Genomic DNA, 12,683 nt, shown 5'->3' on the forward strand with positions numbered 1-12,683 from the left:
AAAGGGAGACAGGCAGGGGGCACCCCAGTAACACAGAGGAGGGGGATTCTGAAGAAAAAAGCCACAAGACTTGCTGAGTGATTATCACCTGGAAGACCAGGAGAGGGAGCAGGGGAAGATGACCCAAGGCTTTGGGGAAACCTGGGGGGTGGGAAAAGTGTGGTGAGCCTCAGAGACAAAGAGCTGATGGGAGAGAAGAAGAGTGTGTGTGTGTGTTTGTGTGTATGAGTGAATGTGTGTGCATGCACACGTGCGTGTGTGCGCGAGTGTGTGTGTGGTGAGTGTGTGTGCATGTGTGTGAGTGCATGCACGTGTGTGTGTGTGTGTGTGTGTGTGTGTGTGTGTAGAGAGAGAGAGAGATGAGAGGGCAAAAAATCTTGTTTCCAACACTGGTTTTGAAATAACAGAAGAATTTTCCAGTGCTGGGTGGTTAGAAAGCTAGAGCCAGAGCAGCAGGAGCATGCAGGGTGGGGACTCTGAGGGACCTCACCACACACTGCACTTTAAGCGGCATGAGGCAAGGTCCAGATATGCTTCCTGTGCCCCCTCTCCCCAGCTGTATCAACCCAGCCAGGAGCCTAACTCAGATGCCCCCATGAAACCCTGTTGAATGAAGCAAGTGATGCATCCTAAGAGTGATGCATATAAAGATGGCACTGCACCCCCCTAGGGCAGCCAGGGGCACCGATGTGAGCACTAAGGACAAAGCAGGCGGTGGGATAGACCCTGCAGGCAGCTGCATTGAGGGGTGGACAACGGTGCCAGCCAGGGGCACAGGGAGCAAAGGGAAGGAGGAAGGAGAGGAGCCCCAGGGATGGGTGACCCAGGAGAGAGTCCTCAGCATGCAGTGGACTGGAAGAGAATGGATGGAAGGGCAATGTGGGTTTAGGGGAGAGAGAGGAAGGGAGGGTAATGAAATGTTAGCTGGAAGAGGTAGTTAGGAAGGTCATGATTGGTGATTTGTTCCATTTGACCAACACTTACTGGACACCTGTTATACGCTGGGCACTGTGCCGGGCAGTGGAACCCTGGAATGAATCAAATCCCTGCCCAAGGTAGGAAGTAGAGAGGGCTCTCCAAGCCACAGGGAAGAGGAGTAACTGACCCTGACAGTGACAGAGCCGGGAGGGCAGTGCTTTGATGGAGGCATGAGCTGTGGATGCAGGATGCATGTGCTGCTGGGGAGACGAGGAAGGGCACTGAAGATGTCAAGATGGGGCTTGGAGGCAGGGGTCAGCATGGTGTCCAGACACCTTCGGGCCACAAGAGACAGCAGCCTCTCCCTGCCAGAAGCCAGCCCTCCTTCAGTCTTCATTGAAACTTCCAGAGATGTGTCAGCTTCCTAAGACCTTTAAGCATTCTAGAGCCCTGGCAGGGCAGAGCCTGTGGCCAACCCTCTACACGGGCTTTCTTTGCCCTTCTTGGTTGAATTTCTCCTGGATCAGTGGATGCTGTCAATGTGATGTCCCCTCTCCAACACATCTGTGTGCATGAACACACTCACACACACACACACACACAGAAAGCACCACTGCAGCAAGCCAGAGAGGCAGAGCCATTTCTACCAAGGTCACACAGGGAGGAGCCATGGAAACCCCTTAGAGCCGACATCCCCAAAATGGGTGGCGAGGAGGGGGACCAGCCCTCAGGGTCACTGCCTTTGCTCAGACCCCCTAGTCTCCATGCCCTCTCCAAAAGGCACCTTCCTTTCCCCTGCCTTTCCCCAAATCAATCCCGACATCTCCTTAAATCGAAGTCAGCCACAATGAAAGGGTGGTGCGGAATTTTGTTTACCAATCCTGGCTTCTAATTAAAATTAGCTGATGGTTCTTCTACTTGGTTTTTGTTCTGACTATTTTTAAGCCAGAGCTGCTAGATCAGTGCAGCCACTAGTAAGCTGTCAAATCAAATTTTCAAAAGCAAATTGCTTTTATAATTAATTATTATTACCGCTCCCAGTTTTGTGTTGCCTTAATGAACACAATCAGGTTTCACCCTCTGCTTCTCCCCCACACGCACTCAGCACCCCCTCACTTTCCCAGACCCACCTCCCACCTCTCCAATCCAAGTTGGGCAAATGGAAAAGGAAAGAAGAAAAGCAGACACGTTCTGAGCCCCCTCCCCAACCCCCCCGTAGCCACCTCCTTGCTCACACCCTCACCTTCAGAGTGAGTAATTAAAGTTCTGCTGCCTGTTACGGAATAAATGGTACATGTTTTAATTACCCCTGAGCCTACCCAGGCATCCCCACACCCCCGCCCAAGTCTGTGAGTCTATGTGGTTTTGAGGGGGACAGTTGAGAGAGAGAAAGAGAGAGAGAGAGAGAGAGAGAAAGTGCTTCTGTGATGGTGACAGCGGTCTGTCACCCAGGGCCTGGCATTCACTGGGGAACTGTCAGTTACTAAGGAAACTAGGAGGGAGAAAGGAAGGGAGAGAGGCGGTTAGATCCAATTTTGGGTGACAAGTGTGAGGCATAAAGATTTTGGCCTCCTCTGTGCATCCCAGCCTAAGTGAAATCTCTGGGGGTGGGCAGGGGGTGGGCCAGGGAACAGGCAACACCAGGAGGCCACGCCCTTCTTAGGAACCTAAGGCAGGTCAGAGGGAGAGAGACGCTAAGGCAAGATCAGCACAGGACCAGGACGGTGACCAGAGCAGGGGTGTGTGTGTGTGTGTGTGTTCGCATGCACACAGCTGTTCACACCCATGTTTGTGTGTGCCTGCCTCTACATTCATCCTTTCTGTCTTTTGGGTATTTTCTGTTATTTTCCTTTCGTTTTCCTCCTTCCTCAGTTTGTAATGTATTTAATTTCCATCCTTCCCCCACTCTGATTTTTTTGGTTATTCTATTCTGTGTCTTCTTCCTTTCTCTTTCTGTCTCTTTTCTCTCTCTCTCTCCCTCCCTCCCTCTCTCTGTCTCCCACACACACACTCTTCTTCTCTGTCTTCCTCTCTTCCTCTGCATCCGTCTACTATCTTTTTCTCTGTCTGTTCCCAGACCACTCCCCTCCCCAGCATGGCGCTCTCTGTTTTCCCTCTTCTCTGTCTCTCCCAGTCTCTGGTCCAGACCTGTCCTGGTGGATCTGCAAGGGTGAGAGACCCTGGGGACCATCTGAGCCTTTGTACCCTAACCTGACTCCGCATCCAGGCCTGGCTTGATCCTCCTGACCCAAGAACACACAGAAGCCTGGGAGGAAGGGTCTGAGTGAGTGCTGACATGGAGCCTCAAAGTTGAGTTCTCGAAATCGGATGCCATTGGAATGGGTGGGACAGAGCGCACTGCACAAAAAAGTCATCAGTATTTCTGGAACAAGAGCAGAGAGCAGATCTCTCAACCAAGACAGAGTGGGGAGGACAGGGGGCAGGCTGGGAACCAGTGCACCAAGGAGGGCACACAGGCAGGTGAGGGAGACAGGGAGAAGGGCCCAGGGCTGACTTCTGGGGCTTTTGACTTTCACAAAGGGCACGAAGACATCACAGAAAGAAGCATGTGAGTCACCAGTTCTGACTCAGGCCCTGGCTGGCTAGTGACAGGACAGGGCATTCCAGATGTCACTCAGGAACCCCAAGAGGACTCCAGGCCTGGGGAGAGCTCCTGCTGCCTGAGACAAAGAAGCGCCCAGCAGAGGCAGGGACCTCCCACTTTCTTCCCCAGGACCTGAGGCCTTCACACTTGCTCCCAGGGAGCCCCGCGGGACGTGGCCAGCCTCACTTTCACTTGCCACCATGTCTGTCTTTCACCCCTCACTCTCATCTCTTCTCCTTGGCACTCTATTGACCAGGGCCTGGGTCTTTTCCTGTTCTGCTCCTGGGGAAGACAGGGCCCTGGGCTCGACTGTGGCCTGAGCCCTGGCTCCTGGGGCCCCTCGGGGACAGCCCAGGGTGCTGGAGGGACAGTGCCGCAGCCGTGCTCGTCAGGGGTGCGAGAGGATGACGCTCAGGCTGCCCTGCCGCCAGTGGGCCTCCCAAGCGGCCCTGCCCACAGCAGGGATAGTCTAGGTGGTGGGTGTGGAGCCGACACCACAATCAAGCGTTCACCATGCCTAAAACCAGGGCCAGCTGGGTGGGAGTCACCTTTCTGTGCAGAACCAGGGTCCTTGGGATGCCTCCAAAGATATCATCAGGCCCCTCTCGGTGTCCCCAGCCCTCCACCCAGTCCAGCCAACCGCGCACACACCAAACCCCGAGGAGGCAACTCAGCCCTCCCTCCTCCAGGGGGCGCACTCTGGCCCACACCGACAGCGGCCTGGAGGCACTTCTAGGAAATCAAGGTGCCCTTGGAGACAGAATCCCAGCAGGAGCCCCACGCCGAGTGGGAGAGACCTCCGCCCTGCTTCTGAAGCCGCAGGCGCTGGCCTCAATAATCCCCCAGCCGCGGGCCGATTTGGCATCCTCCGACCCCTGCGGCCACTGCCAGGTAAGTGCTCCTGCCAATGCATCAGTGTAGAGCAAGCCTGCCACCTGGTGGTGAGGCCACCCAACTACAGGCTGGGGCTCTTGAGGGCCATGCTGTCCCGCGCCGAGGGCCCCACACCCGGGTGCCCGCTGGCTCCCGCAGAGCAGACCCTGAAGGCGCGGAGCCCTGCCCAGGGCCCTTCTAGGCACTGCTGAGTTTGTGAGGGCAGAAAAGCAGAAGGTAGGGGTGGGTCGAGTTCAAGGGCTGAGGCAGAAGACCCCCGGGGAGGGCCTGATCCGAGGGATTTGGGAAAGAAGAGATTCGGTCTCCCAAGGGGCTCACACGCCCCTTCCCTGGGCATCTATCAGGAAGCAGCAGCTTGGGGCCATGGAGAGGCCTAAAGCCTGCATTCCACTCCTGGCCCCACCACCGGCCACAGTGGGGCTGTGCACACCGCTCCTACCGCAGGAGTAGGGCGGACTGACAGGAAGATGAGTCCCTGCGCCCGGAGCTCACCAGAGCCCGGATAAGCCGAAGTCGGCAAATGGATGGGACAGGCAAGTGTACTGGGGCAGGAAGGGCCTTTGGGATCTTCTCATTTAACAGAGGCTGCATCATGAGTTCCGTGGGACCCTTAGCACCTTCGTCTTCATGGGCCTCTTCCTCCACGCACACAAATTCATATTTAAATCCTATTTTATGGCCAAGCAAGGTGGCTCACGCCTGCAATCCCAGCACCCCAGCACTTTGGGAGGCAGAGGTGGGAGGATGGCTTGAGCCTGGGAGGCAGAGATTGCAGTGAGCCGAGATCATGCCACTGCACTCCAGCCTGGAAAACAGAGCAGAACTCTTATCTCTCTCTCTCTCTCTCTCTCTCTCTCTCTCTCTCTCTCTATATATATATATATATATATATATATATATTTATATATTTATATAATTTATACATTTATATAAATATATGTATATAATGACTGCTTTGGTATCAAGATGAATGTATTAATATTATATATTAAAAATATTTTCCTCAACCAAAAAGCGTATTCTTTCTCTTCTGACTTTAAAAGAAATTAAAACATTTTTGCATGCCTGCTGTGCTCATGGATAAGTGGGCCCTGAATCCCACCTCCTCCTGTTGCAGATGAGGAAACTGAAGCCCAGAGACAGGAAGAGACTGTTCAATGTCACACAGGGGCTGTGGCAGGGCTGGGGCCAGAACAAGTCTTCAGGCTTCCAGGCTAGGGCTCTTTCCATTACCCATTTAACCTTTTTCAAGAGGTGGAAAAATCCCTGCCACCTGCTGCTCAGGCCCAGGAAGAGCCCCCTCATCTAGCCCACCCATGCCCTGGAAACTCTGGCTGGGATCTGCTATTCCGCCCTCCCTGGTGGCAGCCTTCCCTCCCCCAGCCCTGGCCCTGCAGCCAAGTCACCACCACCACCGAAGCTCTTTGGCCTGCTGTCTTGTTAATTCCTAATTTCCAATTTGCAAGAAGAGAGAGCCTTAAACCTCCATCTCACCAGCCCAGCAATCACACAGATGATCCAAGTATCTCTGGACAGCCTTTAATTTATTTCCCAGTGCACGCGGGCACTGCTGAGAGACTTGATGGCACCAGCTTAAACATAATAAATTACTCAAGTACCAGAGATTAGTTAATAAAGCTCCAGGCTCCCTCCCAGCCCCTGCTGACTTGGTCTGTGACACCAAAGATTCCTTTGAAGATACCCAACTGGAGGGGTGGGGGGTTCTGAAGTGGGGGTCCCCAGGTCTGAGTCAGCTAGCCAGCCCTCCTCAGGACCCTTGAAGCCAGGCAGAAGTTGTGCCGGGGCTGGAGAGGCAGGGACCCCAGAAATCCACAGGGTGGACTCCAGCATTTTCTACTCCACATCTCAACATATCAGTGGAAGTCATAATCTAATGGTAAATCTGATCCTGGCATGAGCACAGCTTGGAAGACGAGGAGTCAGATGTGTGCCCAAGAATGAAGAAAGATGCTGGTTACTTTTGGAGCCAAGCAAAGGGAACAGAGATGCTTTTTCATGGAGACACAAAGGATCAGGATAGTCTCTAAGCATCTGAAGGCTGATCCCTGCCCCTCAGTCCTATGACCTTCCAGGTGTGTCTTCACAGGGCGTCATGTTGTCCACATACCATCCCCTCACCCCAGTGCCTTTGGCCCTGGCCTGACAACAGTCGCGCCTCACCCAGTCGCGCCTCACCCACACCTGCACAGTCCCCACCCTCCCCCATCAGAACTGTCTATAAAACTCACATCTAACCATATTGCTTTTCTGACTACAAATTCCTGATGTTCTGCTGTTGCCTGCCTAATAAAATGTGGTGCCAGAACCTGGACTTCGTCGTCTTCCTCTAGCGGTAATGAAAATAGGGAATTGGAAAAGATATTTGAAGGAAAGGGTGTAGCTTGCCTCCTGGGGAGCCTCAAAAGAGAAGATTCTCATCTGCTTGGATGGCTCAGCAGATTCCTGAGTGAGATGAAGAAATGGACAAGACAAACTCAGAATTCAGTCCTAGTCTGTGATACTGGAAAAACAGCCTTGGCAGGGGTCAAAGAAAGGCATAGAGAAAGGATGTCTGGAAAATGGTAGGAGTTGAGCGGTTCCCTGAGCTCCCCCAGGAACCCCATCCTCCCTAAGAACCTCAGCCGCTGGCCTCACACCAGTGCCCCAAGTCTAATGGTCTCAAGGAAGATAAACCCAATAGCTTTTGTTCTGACACCAAAGCCAGAGCTCCTGGCGCCCAGGCCCCTGACCACTCCTAGCCCCCACATACGCTGCTGAAACCAAAGTCAGACTTGTGAGCAGGGAGCTGGACTTCTTCCCCAGGCCTGTGTGGCACTGCAGTGCTCCTGAGACTAAGGAAACTGTGATCCACAGTCACCTTTGTTCCCAGGCGCTAGTATTATTCATTGTTATCAGCAATAAAGACCTCTTCAGTATCTCTAATTCTTTCCTTCCATAATGCTCAAAGTACTGCCTACACATGCTCTTGTTTATGCAGAGGGCCTCCCGTCACACAATAGATGGTTGCTGAATATGGTGTAAATTGAATCACATTATAAACACACTAGGGGAATCCTAACATGAATCCTTTCATAAAGTGAATAATTATCCCCTAATTTATCATTAGTGTAAGCCCAGGTTTTTATATAACCGGTTTTGATGTGAGCAAAACCCGCCTATGTGTGTGCGCGCACACACACACACACACATTCCTGACGAGCGAAAGCTGCAGTGTTCCATATAGTGCCAGGCACAAATCAGCCTTAATAAAAGTTTCTGAGAGCAACACTGCTGAACCGAAGCACCAAGGATTCTATAAGAGTGTTGTTTCCATTTCAGAAAAAAGGAAACTGAAGCCCAGAAAGGAGCAATGGTTTTGCTAGTGTCCTTCATCCCCATAGAGAAGATCATTTCAAGAATTTTATAAGAACTTTAGGCACTCTTTGGTCACAGGAGATGGCAGGGAAGTGGGGGAAATGGAGGGATGATTGGCTGGGGCATGGGGGTTGACTTGGGAGAGTGTTGGATGTCACATCAGTTCCTTCAGGCTCAGGGGTGGGTCCAGAGTAAGTGTGTGTGAAGAGGGAGTAGGTGGGATGCTATCATTTAAGTCTACCCTGACTTCTGCCTGATGGGGAGGTTTCAAGGTGGGGGCTTCTCTGAGCCCCTGTAGATAGGGTGCTGGGGTCCAGCAGCAGGCATTCGCCTCTGCCTCAGGGGATGCAGCCTCCCCCAATCTCCTTCTCCAGGCCTTCCCAACACTGCACTGTTTGGGCACCATCCTTCTTACCTGTTCCCTCCAGACACATCTAGAAGCCTCTAGAAGTGGCTGGGAGCTGTCCCTATGTGAATAGCCCTCCCCAGACCTCACCCGAGACACCATAGCTTGGGCAGGTCAGAGATCCAGGATCCCAAGTACACTACATAATTTTCTGCTCTCTAATCCCAATTCTCTGGGTCCTGGAAAGATGCCCAGCCTCCCTAAGCTGGGGGCTCTGGGATTCCCCCACCCCAGGAAAACCTGGGTTCCATGCCCTACTCTGCCACTGCCAACAGTCCATCCTATTTGCATGGGCTTTAAGATTGACAAGACACTATCCTGCACCATCTCATTTAAACCTCACCACAACACTGAGAGGAAGAAATGATTTAGCTCCATTTTGCCCATGAGGAAACTGATGCTTAGAGATGTCAAGACACTTCCCCCAAATCACCCCAGGTTTTTTAAGGGGAAGCCAGTTGTCTTCTCTATCTCAGTAATAGATCTCTGTCACACCTGTCAGTGCTTCAGTGATGATTGCTAAGACCTTTGAACTAGAGGTAGTGATCTTAGGAGACAAGGCAGAGTTCTTAACTTTGGAATTACAATACCATATGCCAGTCACCAGTTTGTAGGAATGCCTTGTTGCCATTAGCAATAAACTAGACATAGAAACTAGAGTGCATTCAAGATTATCCTTTTTAAAATATCACTTATATTACTTGTACTTCAGTATACCCTCAGCTGAGAAAGGCAAGGCTTTCTGGTGAGGAGTCAGGTCAGGTAAGCTCGAATTTGATATCCTACCATCCTGTGAAGCCAAAGCTCAGAATCCTGCAGCTAATCCAGGGAGACTGCCTGGAGTAGGTGTGTTTAGAACCAGGTGTGGGAAAAGAAACAGAGCTGGTTGGTGGAATAGTGGGAAAGAGTCCTGGGTTTTCTCTATCAAGGGACTGCCCAATGCACCTCTTTTTCCCTCCATGTTCTAAGAAAGCAAGAAAAAAGACAAACAGTGACCTGTGGGACAGAGAAAGGCCACCTTTGTTGCTAATAGAAGCTAAGTTGGAGGATATGGCTGAGTGAGAGAGCAAATGGGCCTCCTGGGCCCCACAGTCAGAGGTCTCACCCTCGCCATCACAGGCAGCATAGACGGGCAGCCTCTGCACTTGGTGCTGGTGATGGCGAGGGTCTGCCCAGCTACCACTGATGTCATGGACAGGTGAAAGGCAACCTGGACTCTCTGCAATCAGTCTCACCTTTATCAGAGGAAAGAAACCAGCAGGAGCCGAGTTGAACATGCTGAACATGCCCTGTGTATTCTCCCCAAACCCCCAATCAGAAAAGTCAGCTCTTCTTCCCTGGAGCAGAGAGAGTAATGGAAAGACAGAAGCCAAGAGATCCAAGTGAGCTCCCTCCACATAGAAGGAAACATCAGGAGTGGCTGAGAAAGAAATGTGTCCTCCAACAGAGGGAGCACTTCCTGTGCCCCCTCACCTCAAGTCCGGTTCACCCTCAGAGTTCTATTTTTTTTTTTTTTTTTGAGAGGGAGTCTCGCTCTGTCACCCACGCTGGAGTGCAATGGCACGATCTCAGCTCACTGCAACCTCCGCCTCCCGGGTTCAAGCGATTCTCCCACCTCAGCCTCCGGAGTAGCTGGAATTATAGGTGCCCGCCACCACACCCGGCTAATTTTGTATTTTTAGAAGACAGACGGGGTTTCTCCATGTTGGTCAGACTGGTCTCGAACTCCAGACCTCAGGTAATCCACCCACCTCGGCCTCCAAAAGTGCTGGGATTACAGGCATGAGCCACTGTGCCCGGAGTTCTCAAAGAATCAGAGGACAGGGCCACTGTTGCCCAGAGATGAGAATGAGCCTTCCTCTGTCCGTGCCTCCTCAGGCCACTGTCAACTCCCCATGCACTGTCCCTGGATTCGGAAGGTACAGGCGCTGGGGAGATGGCTTTATTCATTTTCTGCAATGGGGATTCAGGAAACTTTCTTTTCTAGCCAGTAAATTCAAGCTCATGACCTTCAAGGAGGTCAAAGAAGACCTAGAGAACCTAGTATGTGGGGTAGAAGAGTATTTTCTAAAGCACATTAGGCCCATGCTGATCTGTTGCACTCATCAATGCTTCAATGATGATTGCTAAGGACCTGCGTAAACTAGTGGTAGTGATCATAAGAGACAGGGCAGAGTTCTTAACTTTGGGATTACAACACCATACGCCAGTCACCAGTTTGTGGTAAGTACCCTTGTTACCATTAGCAATAAACTAGACACAGAAACTGGAGTGCATTCAAGATTATCCTTTTTAAAATATCACTTATATTACTTTTACTTCAGTGTACCCTCAGCTGCAAAAGAAGTGGTATTACGGTTGGTGCCACGGGGTAATGCACAACCCACAGGCAGTCTTATCTATGCATATAACCTACGTAAACTTAAAAGCCATCTGTCCTGGAAGAAAAGTGAAGGACCACAGAAATAATGTATGCAAAATATCCTGGTAAACTAAAGAGTGATTTTTATATGCCAGTTGTTATTACTCTTATTATTATTATTACCGTCCTGGGAAAGAAAGGACCTTTACTTTCAGTCTGGAACATGGATGAAGATGAAGCCCTCCCAGACCTCTCCCATCCACATCTGACTCAGATAATCCCTGAGTGTGTTCTACACAATGTAGTAGTCCGTGATTCTGGTCCCCTGGCTATTGGCTGCTGTTTTATGTATAGCCCAGGTATCAGCTGAGGCCTCTCTCTCCCACCCCACCACCCCAGATGTTGGTAAGCTTGACCCAAGTTGCCAGTGCTCAGCCTGCAGGAGTCCAGAGTCTCCCCCAATTTGCACAAGTTTCTACCACTGGTTGCTGTATGTTCCCGTGGTCTTTGCTCCTGCACCCATCCACGCTCTCTCCATGCTGCTTGGCACTGCCCAGGGCATGAAGCTTGGGCTCTCCTGGAAGTTCTGCAAAAGACACATGCACCCCAAGCATTTCCTGCATTTAGAAACATTCCTGGAAATGTGTGGCATCTGGGACAGAGGCCATGGCAGACACACAGTCTCTCATGACCTCACTTCCTCGCTCTTGCCCTTTACTTCTCTTTCTTCTGAGAAACAAGCTCATTCTTCCCCCTTGTTCTGCAGAGAACAATTTATCCAGTACTTGGGGCACTTGGAATCTCAGCTTCATTCCTTCCAAACACTAAGAGAATAAAAGTGACATAGCTAGGAAAGAGCTATCAACTCAACCTGATTATAAGCACCCTGAGGTCAGGGACGGGGTCTTAAATACTACTGGAGCCCCACTGTAACTAGCCTAGAGCTCTGCTAAATAAATACCACAATTATAGTCAGTTCTCATTACTGATGGTAGTTATGTTCTCTAAAGTCATTGCACACACTGAATTAGCAAATACTGAACCTTTGTTCCTAGGGGAAATAAAGTGTTAGGTTCTGCAAGCCTCTGGTTACAAAATTTTCACCAACTGATCAATATATAACTTTTTAAAATGTGTGTTTCAGTTTAAAGACACCTTATTTAATATGGATTGTTGATCCATTAACATTGAACTCAAGGCCAACAGCAGCATAACTCATGCATGAACAAAACATCGAAAAATACCTATTTTCTCCACAAGGCAGGAACACTAGACAGTGTTTCAGCATTATTCACAGGCCCCCTTTTTTTCTTTTTAGAGATGGGGTCTGTCTATGATGCCCAGGCTGGAGCACAGTGACAAGTCACAGGTGTGATTGTAGCACACCACAGCCTCGAACTCCTAGGCTCAAGAGATTCCTCCTGCCTCAGTCTCCCAGGTTGGGCCCATTTTAAAGGTGAAGTCACCAACAAAAAGCACAACAATGCAAAAAAAAAATTGTTTCACTAAATAGACCACAAAAAGGACACTATTATAGCATAAGAGCTGAAACAAGAAAATAGGGTATTGCCTTATTCACCCTCAGCTGGGAATGTGTGCATCAGGCATGTCAAATTCTTCACCACTCTGTCCATGTCTGCAATTGACTGTGAAGTGCCAGGTGTATTGATTTTTAGGTTACAAATTTTAGCAAGTAGGCAAATTTGCAAATGTAGAATCCAGGAACAATGAAGATCAACTATGCATGAATGCTATGGAGTACTATTCAACAATAAAAAGGAACAAACAATGGATACACACAAGAACTTTGATAAATCTCAAAGGCACTGTGCCAAGAAGCCAGTCACAAATGGTGATACACTGTATGAGTCCATTTATTCCTACATTCTTGAAAAGACAGAAGTAGAGTGATGGAGAACAGATCAGTGGCAGTCAGGGGATGGAGGTGGAGGGAAGGTGTTGTTGCAATAAAGGGATAGGGCAAGAAAATTCAGGGGATAACAAAACTGTTCTGTCTCATGATTATAGTGGTAGTAACACAAATCTACGCATGTGTTAAAATTCATAAAACTGTACATCAAGAGAAAGCAGTTAATCTTATTCTATGGTGATTTAAGAAATAA

The 12,683-nt window shown here is 50.1% G+C and overlaps 1 annotated feature.

Moving 5' to 3' along the window:
• Positions 3,303-4,253: an enhancer, noted in NCBI's record as "H3K4me1 hESC enhancer chr11:116146332-116147282 (GRCh37/hg19 assembly coordinates)". NCBI's record gives its function as "activates a minimal SCP1, AML or CMV promoter by ChIP-STARR-seq in primed H9 embryonic stem cells {active_cell/tissue: H9 hESC(primed)}" and the evidence as "EXISTENCE:reporter gene assay evidence [ECO:0000049][PMID:30033119]".

The sequence above is a fragment of the Homo sapiens genome, chromosome 11 (genome assembly GCF_000001405.40).
Source record: "Homo sapiens chromosome 11, GRCh38.p14 Primary Assembly".
NCBI classification, from domain to species: Eukaryota; Metazoa; Chordata; class Mammalia; order Primates; family Hominidae; genus Homo; species Homo sapiens.